Source organism: Homo sapiens, chromosome 10, assembly GCF_000001405.40.
Source record: "Homo sapiens chromosome 10, GRCh38.p14 Primary Assembly".
Lineage (NCBI taxonomy): Eukaryota > Metazoa > Chordata > Mammalia > Primates > Hominidae > Homo > Homo sapiens.
This window is the reverse complement of record NC_000010.11, coordinates 36765208-36792533: the sequence shown is the minus strand read 5'-3', so window position 1 is coordinate 36792533 and position 27326 is coordinate 36765208. Positions and strand designations below refer to the sequence as shown.

Genomic DNA, 27326 nt, shown 5'->3' with positions numbered 1-27326 from the left:
AGGCTAGAGTGCAGTGACACCATGTTGGCTCACTGCAACCTCCATCTCCTGGGTTCAAGCAATTTTCCAGCCTCAGCCTGAGTAGCTGGGATTACAGGCGCCCACCACCATGCCCAGCTAATTTTTACATTTTTGGTAGAGATGGGGTTTCACCATTTTGACCAGGTTGGTCTCGAACTCCTGGCCTCAGATGATCCACCCGCCTCGGCCTCCCAAAGTGCTGGGATTACAGGCATGAGCCACTGCGCCTGGCCAATCCCCAAATATCTTAACGTTCCTGGGCATGCCAGAAAGTGACATCCTTTACTTACCACAAGGACAGGAAGTTTGTAAGGGAATCATATAGACAAGGTACGAGGCTAGTCTTTCCAAGGCGCTTTAAATTAAAATATATATATATTAAAATATATATATGATGGGTACATAATAGTTGTATATATTTACGGGGTACATGCGATGTTTTGATACAGGCATATAATATGTAACGCAGTAATCAGGGTAATTGGAATATCCATTCCTTTATGCATTTATCATTTCTTTGTGTTAGGAACATTCCAATCTATTCTTTTCATTGTTTTAAAATATGCAATGGGCCGGGTGTAGTTGCTCACGCCTGTAATCTCAGCACTTTGGGAGACCGAGGCAGGTGGATCACTTGACATAAGGAGTTTGAGACCAGCCTGGCCAACATAGTGAAACTCTGTCTCTACTAAAAATACAAAAATTAGCCGGGTGTGGTTGTGCACACCTGTGGTCCCAGCTACTCAGGAGGCTGAGGCAGGGGAATCGGTTGAACCCAGGAGGCGGAGGCTGCAGTGAGATCGTGCCACTGCACTCCAGCCTGAGCGACAGAGCAAGACTCCATCTCAAAATAAATGAATAAATAAGTTAATTAATTACATAAAATATACAATGAATTGTTAACTGTAGTCACCCTATTGTGCTACTTAATACTCGATCTAATTGATTCTATGTAACTGTATTTTTGAACCCAATAACCGTTTTCACTTTGTCCCCTCCTCTCTGCTACCCTTCCCAGTCTCTGAAAACCATTATTCTACTCTTCATGTGTTCACTTTTTTCCTTTTAGCTCCCACATTTGAGTGAGACTATATGGTATTAAAAACAAAAGCATTTTAATCTGGAAGTTTTTTTTTTTTTTTTGAGACAAAGTCTTGCTCTTGTTGCCCAGGCTGGAGTGCAATGGCGAGATCTCGTCTCACTGCAACCTCCGCCTCTTGGGTTCAAGCGATTCTCTTGCCTCAGCCTCCCGAGTAGCTGGGACTACAGGCGCCTGCCACCATGCTCGGCTAATTTTTATATTTTTTTTAGTAGAGGCGGGGTTTCACGATGTTGGCCAGGCTGGTCTCAAACTCCTGACCTCAGGCCATCCGCCCGCCTGGGCCTCCCAAGGTGCTGGGATTACAGGTGTGAGCCACTGCGCTCGGCCTTTTTGTTTTTGTTTTTGTTTTTCTGAGACGGAGTTTTGCTCTTGTTACCTAGGCTGGAGTGCAATGGTGCCATCTCGGCTCACCACAACCTCCACTTCCCAGGTTCAAGCAATTCTCCTGGCTCAGCCTTCCCGAGTAGCTGGGATTACAGGCATGCGCCACCACGCCAGGCTAATTTTGTATTTTTAGTAGAGACAGGGTTTCTCAACGTTGATCAGGCTGGTCTCGAACTCCCGACCTCAGGTGATTCGCCTGCCTTGGCCTGCCAAAGTGCTGGGATTACAGGCGTGAGCCACTGCACCCAGCCTAATCTGGAAGTTTATCCAGAGCTTCTGAGATGTATACTGAGATGGAACATAAAAGGTTAATGTTCAGAAATATAAACTGTCAATAAATATGAGAAAAGGAGCAAAAACCACAAAATGATTGAATTTGAGACGAGCCAAATTAAACTGAAAGTTAGACTTCCTTGAAATAGTAGTGTTAGTGTCAATGGGAAAAATAGCAAAATATGCAAATTTAAAAAATAGAAAAGAACAAAAAGAAATGAATCAGAAGAAATAACTTCCTTACATTCTCCACCTGAATCCACAAATAATTAATATTACAATCTTTCCCCTTCATTTTGAAATGTTCATACAGAAATATAGTAAGATTGCAAACAAAGGTGTTGACATTTCGAATCCTTGGCTAGGAAGTTCATACATCCATGGAGAATCTCACAAAACTGAAGCAGAATAATACCTCCTACATAAACATTTACATTCTCATTTATTTCTGAATTCCTAATTAAACATTTTTGGACTCGTAGAAGATCATCATCTCACTGCACATGTGTGCAGGTGTTCCTGTTATATTGCTCAAGGGACATTGTGTCCTGACATCCCCTGGCATTACAGTCTCAGGCAAAGAAATGAATGTTGTGACTTCTTGCCAAAAGGCTTAAAAATAAACTGAAAATGACGACTTGGTCTTGGGTTTTAGGTCTTGGTGCCAAGTTTCAGCACCAAAACCAATTTTGTAGCCAATTTCTAAACCTCTAAAAATTAGGGTCGATGGAAGGGCAAGAAACTAAAATGTGAATTCAGTTTTAATCCTCCCTGCGAAAGCTACTCATGTAGATTGAAAGTCAAAAGCTCTTATTTGTTTATTACCTTCCTTCAGAAAATATTTTTAAATAATTAGGCCTGCAAAATATAATCTCAGGATACTTAAACAATGTAGCCTGCCTAACCCCATACTCTTTAAATCTTTTAAAATAATTTTAAAAAATAAAGCAGGCTTCTTCAGGGATACGTAGATAAGTAATTTTTCTTTTTCTTTTTCTTTCTTTTTTTTTTTTTTTTTTTGAGACGAAGTCTCGCTCTGTTGCCTCCGCCTCCCAGGGCAAGTAATTCTCCTGCCTCAGCCTCCCAAGTAGCTAGGACCACAGGCACATGCCACCACACCCAGCTAATTTTTTGTATTTTTTTTTTTTTGAGATGGAGTCTCCCTCAGCCGCCCAGGCTAGAGTGCAGTGGCACAATCCTGACTCACCACAACCACCATCTCCTGGGTTCAAGGAATTCTCCTGTCTCAGCTTCCCAAGTAGCTGCGATTACAGGCACCCGCCATCATGCCCAGCTAATTTTTGTATTTTAGTAGAGACAGGGTTTCACCATGTTGGCCAGGTTGGTCTTGAACTCCTCACCTCAGGTGATCTGCCCACCTCGGCCTCCCAAAGTGCTGGCATTACAGGTGTGAGGCATCACGCCAAGCCTAATTTTTTGTATTTTTAGTAGAGTCAGGGTTTCACCATATTAGCCAGGATGGTCTCGATCGCCTGACCTCGTGATCCACCTGTCTCAGCCTCCCAAAGTGCTGGGATTACAGGCCTGACCCACCGCACCCGGCCCAATTTTTCTTTAATTGTAATTTAAATATTTAAATATGACTGTAAAAAACGTTAAACATAAAAAAAGTAAACAATTTTTCAATGAATTTGCAATATTTACTTCCTAAATTCTACCAATGCCATTGAACTGTACTTGCTTTAGCATCCTTTTCTATCCATCAATTGATCCATCTTCATTTATTCATTTCTGATACAAATAATCTGCAAACAGTAGTACATATTCCCCTAAATATTTAACATATATATCATTAAGAAGTATTCTAGGCCTGGTGCAGTGGCTTATGTAATCCCAGCACTTTCAGGGGGCTGAGGTGGGTGGATCATGAGGTCAAGAGATCAAGACCATCTTGGCCAACATGGTAAAACTCCCCTCTCTACTAAAAATACAAAAATTAGCTGGGAGTGGTGGCGCGCCTGTAGTCCCAGCTACTTGGAAGACTGAGGCAGGAAAATCGCTTGAACCCAGGAGGCAGAGGTTGCAGTGAGCCGAGATCGCGTCTCTGCACTCCAGCCTGGCAACAGTGCTAGACTCTGTCTTAAAAGAAAAAAAAAAGCATTCTATAATTGTTTGCAGTTCATTTTTTAGCTTAAGTTTACATACAATAAAATACATGAATCTCATTTGATGAGTCTGACGTATGCATATGCCTAAACCCAAATCATATCAGGGTATAAGAATATAATATATATAATATTACTCCAGAACGTCCTGTTATAAGTTAACTTTAAATTGATGAGATTTTAAGTAAATGTTTCATATAGAGAGATCAGAATTCCTTCTCTTGCTAACTTACTGACATTGTTAAAATAGCAATTCAAAAATCGTTTTACTGATTCAGCAAATAACACTAGCTGTGCTTAAGGAAGACATTATTGAACAAGAAAGCTCAATTCACTTTCTGTGCTGGGAATAGAGAAAATGTAATTGAACAAAGTAGGGAAAGTATCCTTTTTTCTAAAGAGAAATGCTTGATATCAGATAATCATCAGATAAGGAATTACCTATTATTTTTCCACAGACTTTATCCTGCTTTTAAAAGATGAACAAAATAGGCCGGGTGCGGTGGCTCACGCCTGTAATCCCAGAACTTGGGAAGCCGAGGCGGGCGGATTGTCTGAGCTCAGGAGTTCGTGACTAGCCTGGGCAACACGGTGAAATCCCGTCTCTACTAACATACAAAAAAAATTGGCCGGGAGTGGCCGTATGCACTTGTAGTCCCAGCTACTCGGGAGGCTGAGGCAGGAGAATTGCTTGAACCGGGGAGGCTGGGGTTGCAGTGAGCCGAGATCACGCCACTGCACTCCAGTCTGGGCGACAGAAAAAAAAAAAAAAAAAAGAAAGAAAAATAGGTCAGGTACGGTGGCTTATGTCTCAAATCCTAGCACTTTGGGAGGCCAACGCAGGTGGATCAGCTCAGCCCAGGAGTCTGAGATCCCTGGACATCATGGAGAAACCCCATCTCTACTAAAAATACAAAAATTAGCGAGGAGGTGTGGCGCATGCCTGTAGTCTCAACTACTCGGGAGGCTAAAGCAGGAGGGTGGTTTGAGCTGGGGAGGTGGAGGCTGCAGTGAGCCGAGATCATGCCACTGCACTCCAGCCTGGGTGACAGAGTAAAACCCTGTCTCAAGAAAAAATAAATAAATAAATAAATAAATAAATAAATAAATAAATAGAAGAAAAAAGAAAAAAATTATTGGTTATTCACGAAAAAGTATTTAAAGTATTTTGTATTCGTCATTGTCCATAAATTCAAAATTGAAAGCATTCTTCCCTGACTTGGAAAATTAGACATAGATAATATCTTGCCAACAGCTAGCCAGTGTTTTAAAATGTATCACAATTCATGACATACTACTAATTCATACATGCACTTCAAAATCAAAGGCTCCATTAGATTTAATTCAAATACTAGAAATGCTCTTGCAAAGGGAAAGCCAGGTACTTTTGGCCGGGCATGGTGGCTCACGCCTGTAATCTCAGCACTTTGGGAGGCCGAGGCAGGCGAATCACGAGGTCAGGAGATCGAGACCATCCTGGCTAACACGGTGAAACCCCGTGTCTACTAAAAATACAAAAACAAAATTAGCTGGGCATGGTGGTGGGCGCCAGTAGTCCTAGCTACTCTGGAGGCTGAGGCAGGAGAATGGCATGAACCCAGGAAGTGGAGCTTGCAGTGAGCCGAGATCGCACCACTGCACTCCAGCCTGGGCCACAGAGTGAGACTCTGTCAAAAAAAAAAAAAAAAAGGAAGCTGGGTACTTTTACTAGAACAAGTTTTAAATCTATTGGAGGGTAAAGTGTGATGTTACTGAGTAGGTACCAATTTTACAAGTTTTATGAAATTTATTCAGGCTTAAGAATGGTGAGTAACAACTTTTAGGTTTGGAGATACTTAGCCATTTGGCTCTAACTCCCAGTATCTGTTAAGGAAGACAATGTACCAATACTGTCAAGTTTGTTAGTGGGATACCCTTTAAGAAAAATTGGCTGATTCTTCCTATATCTCAACAATGGTTTGAAGAACAAAGTTTTCACCTTGATGTTCTCTGTATTGTCAGATACCTAGAAATTTTAGTAGATATTAATTGTTCCTGCCAAATTCTGTATCACTTCACTACAGATATTAAATCCCTGCTCTTACAATTATAGTAAATGCATATGCAAATGCTGTAAATCACTGTTCAGTTTTCCTTGAGCTTTGCATTTCCATTCCAAAAACAAAATTAGCTGGGCGTGGTGGCGGGCACCTGTAGTCCCAGCTACTCTGGAGGCTGAGGCGGGAGAATGGCATTGCAGAAAGAGACCATTCAGTTAGAAACACATAAATCTGAGTATTATTTTTTCTGGCAATTGGAGATGGCTTGAAATAAAAGAAAGAAATTTTCCCCTAAAAAACAAGTTCTATAACTCAGACTTTCTTTATTAACTACTATTGAGGATTATATTATTTTTGAAAAAAATCAAAATACTCAAATTTAAGGCAGAAGAATTAATAGACTGACATAATTCAAATGTGCGTTTGTTAACAGAAATTGCAAACATTCATTTAGTTCATCTGTTCCTCTATAGTATATAGAATTTCTTTGGGCTAAGCTTAAATTCAGGATTAACTTTTCTCAGATTTCAGGCTATTTGTATGTCTTCACTGAAATTCCTGGGTCACTAAAGTCAAGAATGGAAAGCTCAGGTGATGTTGAAACAAAACCTTGTCAATACTCCATTTCATACTGGTTTTCAGAATTGTGAATTTGTTTTATATATATAAATTTTATATACGTAAAATTATATATATATTTTTTAGATGGAGTTTTGCTCTGTCATCCAGGCTGGAGTGCAGTGCCATGATCTCCACTCACTGCAGACTCTGCCTCCCGGGTTCAAGTGATTCTTATGCCTTAGCCTCCCAAGTAGCTGGAATTACAAGCGTGTGCCACACCAACCGGGGCTAATTTTTGTATTTTTAGTAGAGATGGGGTTTCACCATGTTGGCCCGGCTGGTCTCAAACTCTTGACCTCAAGTGATCTGCCCACCTCAGCCTCCCAAAATGCTGGGATTACAGGTGTGAGACACCATGCCCAACATAGAGAACCTACTTTTTATGAATAAATTCCATGACTTAAGTGGCAAAAACAAAAGGTTCCATATACCCACTTATATAAAAGTTAAATTTACCAAACTTTTCTTCATAATTTTTTCCACATTTGGTTCCCCACACCTTGTCCTCAGACTATCCCCCAACCAAGGACAAAATAAGAAAGAGGACAGGCTGGAAGTATCAGAAGTGAATTATAGTATTTAATAACCATTCATTAACTTTGAGTGTTTAAAATACATGCTTTCATGATTTTTGATCTGTAGAGATAAATTATTATTATATTTATTTATTTTTTTTTTTGAGACAGAGTCTCGCACTGTCACCCAGGCTGGAGTGCAGTGGCGCGATCTCGGCTCACTGCAAGCTCTGCCTCCCGGGTTCACGCCATTCTCCTGCCTCAGCCTCTGGAGTAGCTGGGACTACAGGCACCCACCATCATGCCTGGCTCATTTTTTTGTATTTTTTTTAGTAGAGACAGGGTTTCACCGTGTTAGCCAGGATGGTCTCGATCTCTTGACCATCTCGTGATCCGCTTGCCTCGGCCTCCCAAAGTGCTAGGATTACAGGCGTGAACCACCGCGCCCGGCTAGAGATAAATTATTTTAAGATTACCCTCTTGAATGTAAAGTTTATACAGATCTGGTATGTAGACTTCATCTACCTCTTGAAGTAACAACTTAGCAACTTTAACAAATCTTGGTTCCACAACTATGACCTGTAAATAAATGCAAGCTCCTATTTTGAGCACTGTGCCTAGGTAGTTTCAAATTTATGGACTCCTAAGCTATATAGTCTAATTTTACAACTACTTAAAGGCAACTCATTTCAAACGATTTCCGTCCACTTTCATTTACATCTACTAATTTGTCTACAAAAGTCTCTAAAACACACAGAGGCAGAAATTAATCGCTACAGTCAGGCTCAAGTTACATGCCGGCCAAATAGGTGTTTCATTATATTTGTGTAGGAATATGAAACCCAAGACATGTCCAGATTAATGCTGCAATTGTTATTTCCTATCTCTGAGACTAAGGAAGAACAGAGAGTCTCCCTTCATAGCAACTCAAACTTTCGAAGGATCCATTCACTTTCTGCAGCTGATTGACTCCCTGTAGACGTAATACCATTCTAAGCAAAAAAAATAGGTAACTTCACAGGTTATCCATAGGACATTCTATGTATAGTGCACTTGAATACTTCTTCGATCACGGCCCTTTTAATTACTGCATTACATAAAGGGAACACCTGGGAAAGGGCTTTAGTATCTGTCAAGATCCATTAAAGAAAATTGAAACCGGCCGGGCGCAGTGGCTCACGCCTGTAATCCCAGCACTTTGGGCGGCCGAGGCGGGTGGATCACGAGGTCAAGAAATCGAGACCATCCTGGCTAATACGGTGAAACCCCGTCTGTACTAAAAATACAAAAAATGAGCCGGGCGTGGTGGCGGGCGAAGTTGAGGCAGAAGAATCCCTTGAACCCGGGAGGCGGAGGTTGCAGTGAGCCGAGATCAGGCCACTGCACTCCAGCCTCAGCGACAGAGCAAGACTCCATCTCAAAATAAATACATAAATAAATAAATAAAATGAAAATTGAAACCACACTAGGTATTTCATTCAACAGAAGTAATTTAATTCAGGGAGCTGCTTCCATAGGTGGTAGAAAAGCGGGGAGTCAATCTTTCAGTTGTGAAGCAGTCCAGAGATGAGAGCTGCAAGGACTCAGACAGGAAACAGCATGACGAGAGCCAGAAGCCGCTGCTATCTACCCAAAGGGAAATCTACCATAGGTGCTGCCTGGTGGGAGCAAAGCTCGGACCACAATGTGAGAAGATGTTTCAGAGACCCCAGGCAGAAGAGAAGTGATAAACATTATTAGAAAATGCCCCCTGGTGCAGAGAGAAAGAGTGAGCAATACCCACGATCCTGCTCTCCTGCAGCTTCCAGGAGCTTCCCAAGTCTCTCCTGTCTCCTGTGACTGCACACCTGGAGCCCTGGCACCCTACGCTTAGCCTGGCTCCAATTTCCCGATATGTCGAGCACACTAACTTAGAGATCAAATTTGCTTTCTTTATCTGCTAAAAGACTGTATGGTTAAATTTAAATTCTTCAAATGTATTGGCTTAAATAATTATATTCATTACATATTAATGACAGTCTCAGTAAACTAACTTTCTAGCAGGAGATTCCAGGAACTCACTGACATAGAGGTGTGATGAAGGAACTAGACTACATAATGAAAAATCCCAATTTTAGGATTTAATTCGAAAGGTAAAAAACGGCTGGGCACGGTGGCTCACGGCTGTAATCTCAGCACTTTAGGAGTCTGAGGCAGGCAGATCACGAGATGCTCAAGAGATCGAGACCATCCTGGCTAACATGGTGAAACCCTCTCTCTACTAAAAATACAAAAATTGGCTGGACATGGTGGCGCACGCCTGTAGTCCCAGCTACTCAGGAGGCTGAGGTAGGAGAATCGCTTGAACCCGGGAAGCAGAGGTTGCAGTGAGCCAAGATCACACCACTGCACTACAGCCTGGCAACAGAGCAAGTTTCCGTCTCAAAAAAAAAAAAAAGAAAGAAAGAAAAGAAAGTAAAAAAAATCCTGTTTCTACTGAAATCTATTTGTTCATGATTAATAACATGTCCAGAACACAGTGTATTACAGTGCCCAGTAGTTGTGTTTCAGAATCAAACAGAAGTGGGTTTGAATCTCAGCACTACCACTTAAAAACCATCTGAACATGGGGAAGTTTCTCTACCATGCTGAGCTTCAATTTCCTTACTTGTTATCTGTCTCGGAATAATTTTATAAGGATTAAATAAATAATTCATTCTCTAAGTACAATGTTTGTATGATGCTGAGTAGACCTGGTGCAAGACATTCAGTAAATTAAACAATTACTATCATGAATATTTTAGTGATAGCAACAGTAAGTTACTTATCAACCATTCTAATATTTTTCTCACTGTGTCTTTGTTTTATAAGTATGTCCCCACTATGTAAAGGGTACTAAAATGATATCAACAATTATCTAAAATTTCTTGCAAAGATGAAAGCAAATCTCTTAGATATTAAAGAATTTACAATTTTTTTTTTTTTTTTTGAGATGGAGTTTTGCTCGTCACCCAGGCTGGAGTGCAATGCATGATCTTGGCTCACTGCAACCTCCTTCTCCCAGGTTCATCCGATTCTCCTGCCTCAGCCTCCCAACTAGCTGGGATTACAGGCATGTGCCACCACGCTCGGCTAATTTTTTTTTTTTTTTTTTGTATTTTTAATAGAGACAGGGTTTCACCATGTTGGTCAGGCTGGTCTCGAACTCGTGACCTCAGGTGATCTGCCCGCCTCACCCTCCCAAAGTGGTGGGATTACAGGCGTGAGCCACCATACACGGTCTCGCTTTGAAACTATTTTCTATCTCTCTTTCCACCATGATAAACTAAAAACTTGAATAAAAGCTTAAAAATAAAATTGGAAAATAAATAAAATGGACGTGGGAGGCTGAGGCATGAGAATCACTTGAACCTGGGAGGTGGAGTCTGCAGTGAGCCGAGATTGTGTCACTGCTCTCAAGCCTGAGCAACAGAGCGAGACTCTGTCTCAAAAAGGAGAAAAAGGAAAAGAGAAAGGATGACATGTATCAGTGCACTTGTAATGTCTTTTCCCCTCCATACCAACCCTGTGCTACCTAGCTTCAACAATATAGTATGCACATACGATAAGTACTCTGCCCTTAACTTTCTTCTGTTTTTCTCTCCCCACCTCTATATTGCTGGTGCCTGACAGCAGGTCCCCAAACACATTGTTCCAGCATTACACAACTGTAGGAAGGCTGATAAGGTCTCAAAATAGTCTCTCCTGAGTTCCTCTCATATAAAAGGTGCCAGTTGCAATTACGGGAGAACTGATAGAAATATCTGCACCTCTACAGTTGTTCTTTTAAAAAAATGTTTTTGGCCGGGCGCAGTGGCTCACTCCTGTAATCCCAGCACCTTGGGAGGCCAAGGCGGGCAGATCTTGAGGTCAGGAGATCGCAACCATCCTGGCTAACACGGTGAAACCCTGTCTCTACTAAAAAATACAAAAAATATTAGCCAGGCATGGTGGCGGGTGCCTGTAGTCCCAGCTACTCGGGAGGCTGAGGTAGGAGAATGGCATGAACCCGGGAGGCGGAGCTTGCAGTGAGCTGAGATCGCGCCACTGCACTCCAGCCTGGGTGACAGAGTGAGACTCCATCTCAAAAAAAAAAACAAATTTCTTAATAAAAACATGTTTTCCAATTTCAGATCAGAAAAGACATATAGATATAGATCGTTTTGCATTCATCAAAAAATTAGGGGAATTGATCTGAGCTTTGTGTGGTAACTGAAATAATTAATTTAATCATATATTTTATTTTATATTTTCTTCTCCAAATATCTTCTTCATGCCAGTGCAACAGAAAAGCTTCTGATAGAAAACCTAGGAAAAAGTCTTTTAATATTTTATCATATCATGTTCTCCTTACTCATTATGTCCTCGGTGAATCACATTCTACCTCCCATATATTTCACAATAGCAATTTCATTCTCTGGGATTATCAGTTATTTCCAATTATCAAGTCCCCATCATTTTAGTCTTTTTCCTTCATGGTCCTCTGCAGCATTTTATAATATTGACCATTCTCTTGAAACTTTCTTCTGATGGCTTCTCTAATACTATAATGTTGTGGTTCCATTTTTCCTTCTTAGATCTCTTCATCTTTATTTATTACAAAATTTTTACCTATGCCTAATAACCATAAGCATACAAGAAAATCACTGTAATTCAAAGAGAAAGTAGAATTTACTTTTAGAAAATGTATGTTAAAGGTATGATCCCAATTAACAAAAAAAAAAGAACAAGGGAGTAATGATAGTTATCACTTATTAGTACATATCACAAGATCGTTTATAAGCATTTCTGCATTAGTTGCTTTAGACACGTTATTTTACATCTTAAATGTCCATAACAACCATATAAAGATTATTGCGCTATGCTTAGAGATGAAGAAAATAGGCTTGGAAAATTTACACAATGTACGTGGCCAAGCTAAAACTGAAGCTATTCTGTCCCTTAGTTTTTCCACTGAAGCCCATTTCTATCAAGTATTCTCTCGGCCAGAAAGGGTAACACCCGATATATACGCCCCAATTCCTTCACCTTTGTGCACAAGCCAGCCTTACTATTCAAATATAGAACTACCCACTGAGCCAGAACATGACCTCAGATCCTTAGAGGCATAGTACTCAAGGCAGCTATTAGCAATTAATTAGAGTTGGCATTGGATGGAGCAGACCACTTAAATTTCACACAGGTCTTCTTCGTGTGTAAAATTTACTTCTTGTAACTTGCTAAAATGTTTCACCCCCATAAGTACTATCTGTTAATCACAGAATAAATCGACCCTCTTTTTTATTAAAGGCCTGAAAACGTTAATAAAAACATAACATAACTAAAATGTATTGACACTTTTCTGTGTCAAACATCTCTTGTTCCTCCAACGACTCATACTATGACAAAATATATTAAATAATTGTGCAAACCTTATTGGTATGCATCTGTTAGCTTTGCTGTTTATGGCAGTGGCTCATCATGTTATCTAGTTCCAGGCACTCTTCTTTAAAGAATCGAGTTAAAGACATTTGAATTGCCATTGAGTTGTAAGTTTTTTTTTAGAGCCTCATAAGGTAAAGAAAGAAGGAAGGAAGGAAGGAAAGAAGGGAGGGAGGGAGGAAGGAAGGGAGGGAGGGAAACCTCTTCTTTGGAAATGGTTTATATAATGAATAAACAAATAACAAACCATTTTTTATTCGATTAATATTTGGTAAGCCCATTTAAATGAACAAGCATCTTTCTAAAAGATAAGATATACAGCAAATAAATAAGCTTATTTTTAATGTAGAATATAAAATACTTCTTATAAAATGTTATGAATTCCACTCTAATTGCATGTGCCATCTTGGTGAGCTTTTTCTCTTTGCTGCTGGTTCACATTTTCAATAAGTAATTTAAGGCAAATTTAGGAAAAAAATAGGTGAGTTACTTGAAAAGCTGGTTTGTTTCCAGTTGTGCTCTTCTGGGGAGAGCATGTGTTGCCTCATGGGGTAGCTCTGTTCTGTTTTATTCCACACGGTGTCACTCTGTCCCTACCAAGGACACAATTATCTCCCAGTTTCTGAACTTCCACTGGATCTTAGGAAGAGAAGCATTTCTGAAGCACAGTAATAGGAAAAAAAGAGCCAATTTTCACAGTAAGTTTGTTGAGTAATTGTTCCCAATTGCCTCTTTTTTCAAACTTTAAATCAAATAGCACATTGTAACATAAACAGGATTGCATTACGTTGTCATCAAATTAATAGAGTAAAAATGTAATATTTCCAAAATGCTTTTACCACAAACTCACTACAAATATTCATACATTCATGTGTGCGCGTGCACACACACACACACACAATTACATATGATCATTAGAAACCAATAAAATATTTTTGTGAGTGAGAACAGACAAAAATCCCAGAAGAAAAAAATTATTGTGGAGATAAATACACTTGTATATGATTCCAAAAAGCCAACCCTATAAATGGACTAATCCCTGTCTACATCAGGGATTTTTAAATAGCAGTAAAAAGCAAAGATTCAGAGGTAACAAAATAGCAAGCTTCAGACAGTCACTGGTCAATAAGGGAAGAAGAATTGCACTTATTCTTGACAATGTGATTGGAAAACACAGGAGAGGCACAAAGTGGGAAACTCTTGAGAAGCACTGACTTCCTGTAACTGAAAGAGTTCAAGTCTGGAAAATGTAGCCACTTAGTGATAATGTTGAAGGAGACCTTCAGGCAAACAATGGTTTATTACCTCCCTAAAGTCCTTTCAGGCTCTTTTTAAGTGTGGGATTATATGCCCCAAAATATCTACATTACATCAGAAGAAACTGCTGCAGGGTCAGAAGCAGAATGGGAGAGGCATTAAAAATATATGAAGTCCAACTTCTTAATATTTTACATAAAACTGCATGCAGCTCCTGGTAGAAAAATTCTAAATTTTATCTATCTATTAATATTATTTCTCTCCGAAAGTTTGCAAGCAATTCAAAAACAGTTGTAAAATCATCTCTTTTTACTGCAGCACCTAGTCAAGTGCTAAGAACATGATAGTAACCTAACATGTAATTGTAGAATGTAAATTATGAAATCAAATTAAGGCTCAAATCCCAGTAGTACAATGCCACTTCAGAAAGTGATATGCAAAAGCATGTGAAACTCCAGGTAATGTAAAATTAGAATATGGTATAGATACCAATGTGATTGTGAGCAGGATTAATCTACTTCATTTGATTGATTGATTGAATGGTACAGTTGACTTATATTTTTAGTATAACTATAATAACTAGTGTGCTATATAGTCTTCCAATTCTCTTGTATTTATGTATGTGTTCATGTATGTGCTTGTTGCAGATTTTTTGCATATAATTAGGTCACACTATGAGTATTTTGCTGCACATTTATTTTCATACCACTCATTTAATAGTCATTTACCAAATAAACAATCAATGAAGGTCCTCTACATGTCATGCTAATTGTGAGGTATAATGGTGAATGAGATACGAGTGAAGTAAATGGGAAAGAAGACAACACCCAATGAGCTGGGTGATATGGACTGCACAGAGATCTAGGGCAGCCTGTAGAAAGGTTACCCAATCTTGCCTTTGGTTATTAGGAAAACCTTCTTGGAAGAGGTCATGCCTAAGTTGGTATTAAAAATAGAAGACATTACCCAAGATAGAACAGGAAAAGGTAAATACCTTCCAGTTCTAGAGAGAGAACAGTATGTAAAAATACAAAATACAATTAGGAAGATGACAGGGCACTATTGAAAATGTGCAGAAAGCGTAACAGGAGAGATGGGGTAGGCCGTGATGTGCCTTCAGGGCCCTGGTAAGTGTTACCATGAGGGATACGTAAAACCACTGAATTGGCACACAGGTGACATCACGCAAGTTTTGCCTTTTAGAAAGATTAATTTGACTGCAGTTGGGAGAATGGATTGGGGTTGGGCAAAACTGCAGATGGGGACACATTTAGAAGGCTGATGTAGTTCCAAACAAACGATAATGGCAGTTAAACTAAAGTAGGCGAAGAGAGGATGGCAAAAAGTGGACAAATACATGGTAAATTGGGAAAGTAGGATATGAGAGAGAGAGGGACATGTGAAACGGCTCTTACTGGAGAAGGGTTGATGGTGGGCCAGACATTGAACTGTGTAGCACATCTGGCCTCCCTTTTCCTGATTCATCAGACTGCCCGAGGATCATCACAGGGCCACCCCATGCGCTATTCTGGCTAGTCAGAGTCTAGGCTGAAAATGTCTTCAGACCACACCTTTTCCTTAACTGTTATAAAGAAACGGGAAAAAAAAAAAGGAAGGGAAAGGGAAGGAGGGACTGAAACACTGAGAGAAGAGACAAAGTGAAAAAGAAAAAAGACTAGAGAGAATTAATATAAAAAAGAAAATAAAATAATCACGTTCTGGTTTTTAATCTCAGGTATCCTATTTGAACACAAGCAAATTTCGATGAGTTGCTTGTAGTCTCCATGTTTATTTTCCTCGTTTGTAATTTTAATTTCAGAGGGGTTTTACTAAATAATATGATAATAAATGTAAGGTACCAGCACAGAGTAGACAACGAATACATTGTGAAAGAAAGAGGAAAGAGGCTGGGCTTGGTGGCTCATGCCTGTAATCCCAGCACTTTGGGAGGCCAAGGCGGGCGGATCACAAGGTCAGGAGATCAAGACCATCCTGGCTAACACGGTGAAACCCCGTCTCTACTAAAAATACAAAAAATTAGCCAAGCGTGGTGGTGGGCGTCTGTAGTCGCAGCTCCGGCGGAGGCAGGAGAATGGTGTGAACCCAGAAGGCGGAGCTTGCAGTGAGCCGAGATCGCGCCACTGCACTCCAGCCTGGGCAACAGAGCGAGACTGTCTCAAAAAAAAAAAAAAAAAAAAAAAAATTCCAACGCCCTGCTATGGATCAGCCCTGATTAGCATTGAGGCTACCTGCCCCTACTCTAACTGCTCGCCAGAAGTAACAGTAAATTCTCTTTGGAAGAAGACAACGTTACTGAGATCTGCATATTATGGTTTCTTATATGCAATGTCCAGGATTTAATCAATGTCCAGGATTTAATCATGTCCAAATTTTAATCATATCAGGACATGACTTCACACAACTGAAAACCAAGAAAAAAAATATATAATAGAAACAAACCTAAAACAGACCCACAGGAAATTCATGTGTTAGAATGTATTGCAGAGACTTGAAAATAACTATGCCTAATATGTTGAAGGAATTATTTGCCAAGGTAAAGAGATGTAGAAAACTACAGTGTTAAAAAGAATCAAATGGACATTTTGGATTTTGAACATGCAGTAACTGAACTTAATAACTCAGTAGGCAAATTTAATAGGAAATTGTATACAGTTAAAGAATAAGATTAGTCAAGTTGAAGATAGCTTAGAAAAAAAAATCTAAACTGAGATACAGAAAGCCTAAAAGATCAAAACATTTAGAAAACACCTAAGAGATACATGAGACATGGGGAAAAGTTTTAGCACATGTTTTCATGGAGCTAAAGAAAAAAGGAATGAGAAAAAAGAATGAGTCAGAAAAAATATCTGAAAAAATAGTGGCCAAGTAATTTGCAATATAAATTAAAGCAAGAATCCACAAGTTCAAGGAGAACTTCACAACTGAACTGGAATAAATACAAAGAAAACCATACCTAGACACATCATACTGATGTTACATTAATTAACTTGAGTTCCTCTTGTATAAAATAACCGAATAATCTGGTGAACTAATTTAGAAAGTGCATGATGCTGTATCATTCTTCTAAAATATTAATTTTAAATAATAGCCTCTTACACTTACATATTGTTACATGTTGTTCAGATTTTCATTCAGGTCATGTATATCTTTTTGAAGTTCTTTAAAACAAACAACTTAATTAGATTCTTCCTTTCTTTTTTTTTTTTTTTTTTTGAGACGGAGTCGTCTCGCTCTGCAGCCCAGGCAGGAGTGCAGTGGCACGATCTCGGCTCACTGCAAGCTCCGCCCCCTGGGTTCCTGCCATTCTCCTGCCTCAGCCTCCCGAGTAGCTGGGACTACAGGCATCCGCCACCCCATCCGGCTATTTTGTTTTTGTATTGCTAGTAGAGACAGGGTTTCAGCGTGTTAGCCAGGATGGTCTTGATCTCCTGACCTCGTGATCCACCCGCCTCGGCCGCCCAGAGTGCTGGGATTACAGGCGTGAGCCACCACATCTGGCCAATTAGATTCTTTTAAGTGGAAAAAAAATGTCATTATTCTCCTTACATAGATTAGGCAATAGAGCTCAAAGCATGCAAATGCTGTCTGTTGGAAAGCATTTCCAAATGTGTCACCTCTCAACTCCATGGATTAGGATTAACTAAATATGAGCCACCCACCGATCCCCAACACAAGGAAAAGTACCACTGTGTGTGAAAGAAGGCAGAAGCAACAAACAGCAGATTTAGAACTCTAAATACTCCATATATTGGAAATATTAGGTAGAGAATATAAATAACCATGTAGTAAATGTTTTTTTGAAAACTATAATTTTCAAGAGTGAGAAACCATCAACAACAAGAACTATTCAGTCAGATAAGGTTTATTTCTAGAAACACAATTTCTAGAAATAAAAAATAAAAGTTGAAATGGATAACTTGGTGGTTGGATAAATAGCAGATTAGATTCTACTTGATAGAGAATTAGTGAACCGATTTTATATCTAAAGACAGTATCCAGAATACAGCACAAATGGTCAAAGAGATGGTAGAGAGATGAAAGACAGATTAAGGGCTATGAAGGAGAGAATGAGAAGGGCTAGTATGTCTCCCAGAATGAGAAGGCAAATAGAATGGAAGTCAGACAATGTGAAAAAGAAAATGCCTGAGAATTTTCTGAACTAAAAAAAAGTCACAGGTAGGCTGGGCGCAGTGGCTCACGCCTGTAATCCCAGCAGTTTGGGAGGCCGAGGCTGGCTGATCACTTGAGGTCAGGAGTTCTTGACCAGCTTGGCCAACATGGTGAAACCCTGTCTCTACAAAAATACAAAAATTAGCCAGGCGTGATGGCGGGTGCCTATAATCCCAATTACTCGGGAGGCTGAGGCAGGAGAATCACTTCAACCAGGAGGTGGAGGTTGCAGTGAGCCGAGATCACGCCACTGCACTCCAGTCTGGGCAACTGAGTAAGACTCCAGTTCCCCGCCAAAAAAAGTCACAGGTAAAGAAAATTCAACCTATATTAAGTAGCATAAATTTAAAAATATATACACCTGAACACATTTTAATGAAAGTGCCGAATCCAAAATAAGAAAATATATTATAAAAATACAAAAGAAAAAGATAAATTGCTTACAGAGGAACAATTGGACTGAAAGCATGCTTCTCTATAAGAGCAATACAAATGAGAACATGGTGGAATAGTAAAACTGAGTGTGTTTATCATCCACACACAAACACTACCAGAAATACTGAATGAGGTATTTCAGAAAGAAAGAAACTTGGAAGGAAGGTCTGAGATGTAAGGCGGAATAGAGAGCAAAGCAAATGGTAAACATATATAAATCCAAATAAATATTATTCACATAAAATTAAAAAACGCAATGCCTACATAGCTGATGATGCAATCTTATCTGGAAAAACCTAGAAACTCCCATCAAAAAAGCTTAGATTTTACAAATGAATTCAGTCAAGTTTCAGGATACAAAATCTACCTACAAATTCAGTAGCATTTCTATAACCCAATAATAATCTGAGAAAGAAATCAAGAAGGTAATCCTGCTTACAATAGCTACAAAAGACAAATTAAAAAGCCCAAAGTAATCTTATTTAAACAAACAAACAAACAAAACCTACGAATAAATTTAAACAAAGAGGTGAAAAGCCTCTACAAGGAAAACCACAAAACACTGAAGAAAGAAATTGAAGATGACACACATAAATCGTTAGGTTTTTAAAGACAATGAAATACAAAAACAAGCAAAACAGAGTTCAAGAAATAACAAAGCAAGAATAAAACAAGAAATAACAAGCTAAGAAAAGTAAGACATATGTTAAGCTTAAAGTAAGATGGTAAAAAAATCATAATATATCAGTAATCAGTAATCACCAAAACTGTTAATGACTGAATTTGCCAGCTCAAATACAAACACTATCAGATTTGTTTTTAAAGATCATGTAATTACTATTTATAAAAGATATATATAAAACAAGAACAAAGAAATGTTGAATATTAAAGGATGAAAAAGACAGAGCAATTACAAATAAAATAAAACTCACGGAAGGCAGAGGCAGGTGGATCACGAGGTCAGGAGATCAAGACCATCATGGCCAACATGGTGAAACCCCGTCTCTACTAAAAATACAAAAATTAGGCCAGGTGCAGTGGCTTAAGCCTGTAATCCCAGCACTTTGGGAGGCTGAGGCAGGTGGATCACGAGGTGAGGCGGTTGAGACCAGCCTGGCCAACATAGTGAAACCCCATCTGTACTAAAAATACAAAAAATTAGCCAGGCGTGGTGGCTGGTGCCTGTAATCCCAGCTACTTGGGAAGCTGAGGGAGGAGAAACGCTTGAACCTGGAAGGTGGAGGTTGCAGTGAGCCGAGATCGTGCCATTGTATTCCAGCCTGGTGACAGAGTGAGACTCTGTCTCAAAAAAAAAAAAAAAAAAAAAAAAAAAAAAAATCTGGGTTAAAACCTCCAAATATTTTTTTTTTAAGAGACAAGCTCTTGCTCTGTCACGAAGGCTAGAATGCAAGTATGATCATCATAGCTCACTATAGCCTCAAACTCCTAAACTCAAGTGATCCCCCTGCCTCGGCCTCCTGAGTAGTTGAGAATATAGGAGTGTACCACCATGCCTGACTAATTTTTAATATTTGTTTTTGTAGAAATGGGGTCTCACTATGTTGCCCAGGCTGGTCTCACATTCCTGGAAAGTTCAGAACTTTTGAGCTCTAGTACCTGATTTCAAATTCTGGCTCTATGATGTATGAGCTTTGTATGTTGAATAAGTTACTTACATTTTTTTAACCCATTTTTTAAATTTATCTGAAAAATGTTCATAATCACAGCCTCTAACGGAAGCATGTTTATTAGGATTAATTAACATACAAAGCCCTTAGAACCATGCTTAGGGAAGGCAAACCCACACATATTTTTTAAAAGAAATAAGATTATTAGTAAAGTGAACCGATTGATGTAAAATTCTCATTTTAGAGTACTTTTCAAATTAGTTAATCATCACTAATTACAGCAATACAGAAAATCCAACAATTTTTTTTCTATTCCATTTTATCTTCTAAAAATGGCATAATGAATAGCTGAAAAGAACACATTGTATACAAAATAAGAACCTAAATAACCAAGAGTTGAATCGTAGGATATTGTCATATAAGAAAAAGGTTTATGGAGATTAAGTTGAAGCTGCCATTTTAGAGGTTGTTTATTTTGTATAGAAATATTTAAAACTATATTGCCAGCAAGAGCTCAAATTTAGAGTTTTTCATTCTTCATCTCTCTGTCTTTGTTGATGACATCATTAGATTAATTGAATGCCCAGATAAGAGAAAAGCATTAATGGTTCTTGCTATCCTAATTGTTTTCACATAGACACATGGCTACCATGACCAACATTGATTGATATCTTCTGCTAAAACAAAATAAGAATAACAACATTTTTTGGTAGAAAGAATGTGAGTAACATTGCCCTTCCTTCCTAAAAGAGCTATTTGTTGCCTGAATGAAGGGAAACAATTAAATACTGTCTTTAAAGATGACAAGTTAAATTCACAGCTAAACATCTGCTGTTAAGTCACAGTTTGCTAAAGCTTTTGAGGTAGTTTAAGGGACCCATATTTCCCTGTCATAGGGAGTTAATATGCCCATAATGACGATGCTATGTGATTCATTCCTGTTTTTTTTCTCCATCTTTTCTAAAGAGGAAGATTTTCAGCTGCTCTTTGTTAGTCTCCGAATAAAGTTTAAATAGGCCAGAAGATCCGTTTCTGAGAAAAGTTAAATCAGACTCGTATCTGTGCCCCACAGTAAGAAAAGTCATCGAGTCTTCATTCTTGGTGTCATTTCTGTGCCATCTCAATAGTGTAAATGCAAATACTTCAAATCACTTGTGAATTATCATCAACTTACAGAAGGCTCCTGAGTTTAGTAACTTTTCTCTTTATTTGGACCAAGTGTGAGAAAGAGGTCAGGGACGCTCCATTCTTACCAATGCACATAGACAAACCCCACATGTTTTTGTTTTAAATGAACTAACCGAATTTGAGTGCAAATTTGTTAGTTTTCATGGTGATGGTATTTTCAGTTCCTCTGGGAAATAGAAGCTGAGGAAGTCACATGCTGCACACAGCAATTTAGCGCCAATGTTCTTAATACTCGGCAAACACTGATGTTCAAACTCTTGGGTAATGTCATCTTTTGAGACTTGAATAAAATCGTGACCCTCTCCTCAGAAAAATGCACTTAGACAGGTACATACCAACTATGGCATGCTGTTTCAAGAGTTTCCTGAGTCTCCCATATATACTTGCGAATCTCTAGGAGTCTTGGATACTAAAATCTTCTGCAGAAAAATTTGATTACTTGTTTATATGGGAGGAAATAAACTACTGTGTACCGTAATAGAGTGTATAGTCAATTTGTCATGGGGTTTGATTCTTGGTGCTTCCTTTTTAATTCTCTATTTATCAAAATAATGTCCTTTTTTTTTTTTTTAAGACAGGGTCTTGCTCTGTAACCCAGTCTGAAGTCCAACGGTGCAATCACAGGTCACTGCAGCCTTGAACTCCTGGGCTCAAGTGATCCTCCCACCTCAGCCTTTCAAAGTTCTGGGATTAGAAGCATGAGCCATCACACCTGGACAACGTCATTATTATTATTATTTTCAGAGACAAGATCATACTCTGTCACCCAGGCTGTAGTGCAGTGGTGTGATCATGCCTCACTGTAGCCTCAACCTCCATCCTCCCACCTCAGCCTCCTTAGTAGCTGGGACTACGGGCATGCGCCACCACAGTTGGCTAATTTTTGTATTCGTTGTAGAGATAGGGTTTCCTCATGTTGTCCAGGCTGGTCTTGAACTCCTGGATTCAAGTGATGCAGCCGCCTGGCCCTCCTGAAGTGCTGGGATTACAGATGTGTGCCACTGCTCTTGGCCCCATGAAATTTTTTTTTTTTAAATTTGCAATCTAGTCCAAGAGACTTTCTTTTCCTAAAGAGAAAGGGCCTTACTAAGGCCTATGGATAGACACAGCTTAGCTTTGTTTTTCTTTTTGTTGAGACAGAGTCTTGCTCTGTTGCCCAGGATGGAGTGCAGTGGCATGATCTCACCTCCCAAGTTCAAGCGATTCTCCTGCCTCAGGCTCCTAAGTAGCTGGGATTACAGGCGTGTGCCACCACACCTGGCTAATTTTTTTGTATTTTTAGTAGAGACGGGTTTCACCATGTTGGTCAGGCTGCTCAAACTCGTGACCTCGTGATCCACCTGCCTTGGCCTCCCAAAGTGCTGGGATTACAGGTATGAGCCACGGTGCCCAGCCCGACACAACTTAGCTTTTTAAGCACCATTATACAGCCACAAGTGCACCTTCTCAAACTAACCATTGAAGTGAGCTTTCTTTGGGCATTGTAACACTTTCTTTCTAATAATTTTACCTGTGCTTCTTCCTCTATAGGCTACTTCTAAACATTTAACATAAACTTTTTTTTCTATTTAGAAACATTACAAAAAAAAGAATTGTTTGCAATTCATGGATTTTACAAATATTATTAATAGTACAATTACTTTTCCTCTCCCTCTCCCCCAAGAGATACAATTACACACAGAAGTGAGCTTGGCACTGATTGAACACAGGTTTTTTCAAGTTATCTCAGAAGCAGAGATCTCCATGGTAGGTTTTAGTTCCATGGAAGTGGAGGCTTGAAAACAAGTAAACAAAGTTGAAGTCTTGGTGGGAGCCTTGAATGGAGGCTACGTTGTTGCCAGCCCTCTGACAGTGGGGCACCCTGTGCCTGTGCCTAGTGCTAAATGATTTTTGGGTCCTTGACTTGAAATGATAATGTCAGGCTCTATGGAAGTCACTAAAAGTATCAATTTCTACCCCTCTTCACAAGAAAGCCATCAACAGTTCATCTAGCAGGTCAAAACATTCAGAAGTAATAGTGGCAGCTCCCCACCTAAATCTCTGCATCAAATAATGCTTTTTCACAAGGAAACACTGGACACCAGCTCCGATACATGAAAAAAATGACCTTTTGTCCTGTGCATTTCAGCAACTGTAGGTTGTCAACACTAAGGATCCTAAACATTAGAGAAAAGTAGAATAAATGAATAAAAAAGAATTTTAAGACCATTGTCAAGCATCTGAAATACTATCATCCTAGTGTTATTTAAATTTCTGAAAAGATGTGGGGCAATTCATTCAGAATCCAAATCTATTAAAAGTCTCATTTCTTTATAGATTATTTGATAGCTTACCAATCAGAGCTGAGGAAAAGTCTATCCTTCTGAAACTACTATAGAGTCAAAAATCAGAAACTTTCTGTAGACCAATGAGGTATCTCTCAAATAAGTCACTTGGATATTATGTAATCATCATTGTGGAATTCACTGATGCACATAGATTTCTAGGCATGCTTATATTTCAAACACAACTAAGTTGTAATGGAGAACCATGATTGTTAGCAAATTTATTTGGATTATTTTTTCTCTATCAGATCAGTAGACATAAATAAGCATGTTCTTTTTTATTTTATTTTATTTATTTATTTATTTTTTGATACAGGATTTTTGCTCAGTTGCTCGGGCTGGAATGCATTGGCAAGATCTCAGCTCACTGCAGCCTCAACTTCCCAGGGTGAAGCGATCCTCCCATCTCAGCCTCCTGAGTAGCTGGGACTACAGGTGTGTGCCACCACACCCTGCTAATTTTGTGGGTTTTTTTGTAGAGATAGGGTTTCACCATGTTGCCCAGGCTGGTCTCGAATTCCTGGGCTCAAGCAATCCACCCCCATCATCCTCCCAAAGTGTTGGGATTACAGGCGTGGGCCACTGTGCCTGGCCAGGATAATCTCTTAAAACTTTAAATGTAACAGAATAATGATACGCTTAGATGTACATTTGTGATACTAAATGTGAAATTTTAAGGGTGCTATCTTATTAACGCATCTCTAAACAAATTGCTCATAATATTGTAACACGTAAAGCCTACCACTGGAATAAAAAACACTACCTTAATTCAAAAAATAGAAATAGAAATGTTGCTTTACATATGCTGTATCCTCAAATGGATTTTCCTGAATTTTCTGAGTCATTTATCTAAAAATTCATAAGAATATGGCAGCTGGTCATCTTGATTCTTCCAACCAAATAACATGAAATAGTTTGCAGGGCCTTATGCCACCTTTTCCTGTTGTGTTTTTGTTTTTCAAGTAACTATGCCCTACTTTACTGACACTTAAACATACAAATCATATTGTAACTTTAGACTGCATAAAGATAATGTCTTGTCCTGTGAATTGTTACAGGGAACTTTACTGCTTTTCTTCACCAAAAGTTGAAGGATGTTAAATAAGAAAAATGTGACCAGGCGCAGTGGCTCACGCCTGTAATCCCAACACTTTGGGAGGCCGAGGCAGGGGGATCATGAGGTCAGGAGTTCAAGACCAGCCTGACCAGCATGGTGAAAACCCATCTCTACTAAAAATACAAAATATTAGCTGGGTGTGGTGGCGCACGCCTGTAGTCCCAGGTACTCAGGAGGCTGAGGCAGGAGAACTGCTTGAACCCGACAGGCAGAGGTTGCAGTGAGCTGAGATTGCGCCACTGCACTCCAGCCTGGGCGACAGAGTGAGACTCCATCTCAAAAAGAAAAAAAAAAAAGAATAAGAAAAATGTAACTTTATAGAAAGTGGTAGCTCCGACATGTCAGTAAAAATTCTGATGTTATATTTTATTTCATAGTAAAACGCAGTAATATCACACTGTATCTAATATGTTTCCAAATGCGAAGCCAAAACCTACACGAACTCTGTTTTGCCAAGAAATTTTCTGCCATGGTTCTTACTGTTGACATAGAGTCCAAGCAAAGGCTTCAGATGAGGAGGGAAGTACATCTTCACATCCAGCCTTCTTGGCAACAGAAGAAAGTGCTATATTGTTCTTCACACAAACCATCCCCATTAGAGCTCAAGATGTTCTTTTCCTTCTAATCCTCATTTGTACCCCTTAGCCATTTGTTTAGAATTAAATTAACTGCAATTTGGAAAATGTGGATGAAAGGTAGTGCATTGAGTAGATATCACATGTTTCCTGAATGGTGCCTGTTCGGCCTCTTTCACGGCCATTCATTGTGCTTGAAAGGGTGTAGTGTGTGAATTGTTGGACTGTCACTCTGCAGAGAAGTCTGGCTGCCAGTATTACCATGGAAACAGCAGGAAAAAGACAATTAACAAAATGGTTCTGATGTTTTTTTCCTATTTCTTTTTCTACTCGTTAGACTTAGGGAGACTATCCCCCACCCCCTTTAAAACACACACTCATACATGCACACATACATGCCTGCACCGATGGGAAAAAAACGATATTTGAACTGCTCACTAAATTGAATTCTTCTATTGACAGCATCCATGAATTAAAACAAAACTCTGCTTCTAATATAAAATATTTCTAAATGGCTCTCTCAACTTATTCCTCCCTCCCCCCCCTTCAGGTTCTGTTCTTTTCAGACATTGAAGGAATTCTTTGGAAATATCTTTAGGTAAACGACTGTTAATGAGCAGAGCCTGTGATTTTAACCCTGGCACATTCACTGGACTTTTAATTAGTCCCTCTTACCATCACTCCTGTGACAGAAACACAATGTGGCCCCAAGAGCTTAAACCAAAAGGGGACTCTTTTTAGATTCTCGGCCTTAGTGTGAGTTAGATCATCAGGAAAAACTAGTTATGCACAGCCACTAGTGCTAGGATTGGTGACTGAAGGGTTAACAGAGCATAATGAGTGCATGTTTGATGTCATCATTAATGCAAAAAATGCATGGAAATCCAAACTTTGTCAGACTTTGATTTCCTTTAAAAAGGCTATTTATAAATAAAGAAAATGATTGTACATTTTGGGCCTAATAATTAAAGTAAAATATGAGTGGGAGCCCTATTGAGCCTCTGTGTCAAATATTCCATTGAAATGAAACATTGTGCTTTGCAGATAAGCACTCTTAAGTGCAAAGAGATACTTGGGAGTGAGCAAATGAAGCCTTCTTTTGCATGTTGTATTTAAACTCTGTTCTCTTTCCCAAGTCTATGGAAAAATTCTATATGAGGCCTAAGCCCAGAAGTGACCTTGAGCTTGTTCGGACTTTAGTATAGATTTTTAAAAAGTTTTCTGCCAGAATGAAATGTAGTGCTTATTATTTTACAGATTGTTTATTGGCATTCCTGAAATCCTGGGCAAGCATCCAGAAATCACTCTTAAAATTTACCAAACCAAGAAAGGCTGAACCAATGCTGAATTTCGTGTCTTTTACTTTTCTCCAGCATTCTTTGACCCACTCAGAGCATTCTGTTCTCTTCTTCTTTTTGGCAATATTCATTGTAAAAAAAAGTCATTTAGAATAAAATTCCAGGAAAGACATTCAAGAAAGGAAGTAATCTGTTTTTCCAAATTTTAGAATAAGTGTGAATTAAAAGAACCTTTAAATATCTGCTAAAACATTTAGTTTATAATTTAATTATGCTGGACCAATAACTGTCTTTATGAAGTACTTTAAAACAGTTCCTTAGAAAATGAGAAGGTGTCCTTGACTTAGGCATTCCCATACTTTTGAAGAATATTAGACATTCATACTATGAAATAACTAAAAAACGCATTGGCATATTAGGTAGGCAGTATTTGTGAGAAATAAGTCATGTGAAATTCTTTTAAAAAGGGTATAGTTTTGAATCAAAGTCAAACAAAACTTGACATTTTTAACAAGTGAAAATCACAAACCTAGTAAAGATTTTCAAATTCTCTAATCCTCTGCAGCTCTCCATAGCTAACTTACTGTGAACTGTGTCTTTGAGATGGGCAGAAATCACTACAAAACCATCCACATGGCATGTGAGATCATTGTTTTTTATTCACAGTGCAGGATTCTGGAGTAAAAAAGTTTAAACTTGATATTCTAAAATAAAAAATTGAAATAACTTCCCTAGCTATATTTATGACATATATTTTATTAACAAATCCAGTTTTTTGTGCCAGATAGTTCTA

The 27326-nt window shown here is 38.9% G+C and overlaps 3 annotated features.

Annotated features, from left to right (window-relative positions):
- Window positions 912-1411: an enhancer, noted in NCBI's record as "H3K4me1 hESC enhancer chr10:37080051-37080550 (GRCh37/hg19 assembly coordinates)". NCBI's record gives its function as "activates a minimal SCP1, AML or CMV promoter by ChIP-STARR-seq in primed H9 embryonic stem cells {active_cell/tissue: H9 hESC(primed)}" and the evidence as "EXISTENCE:reporter gene assay evidence [ECO:0000049][PMID:30033119]".
- Window positions 1412-1913: an enhancer, noted in NCBI's record as "H3K4me1 hESC enhancer chr10:37079549-37080050 (GRCh37/hg19 assembly coordinates)". NCBI's record gives its function as "activates a minimal SCP1, AML or CMV promoter by ChIP-STARR-seq in primed H9 embryonic stem cells {active_cell/tissue: H9 hESC(primed)}" and the evidence as "EXISTENCE:reporter gene assay evidence [ECO:0000049][PMID:30033119]".
- Window positions 24238-26717: an enhancer, noted in NCBI's record as "VISTA enhancer hs1334". NCBI's record gives its function as "enhancer in: forebrain[5/5]" and the evidence as "EXISTENCE:transgenic organism evidence [ECO:0001131][PMID:17130149]".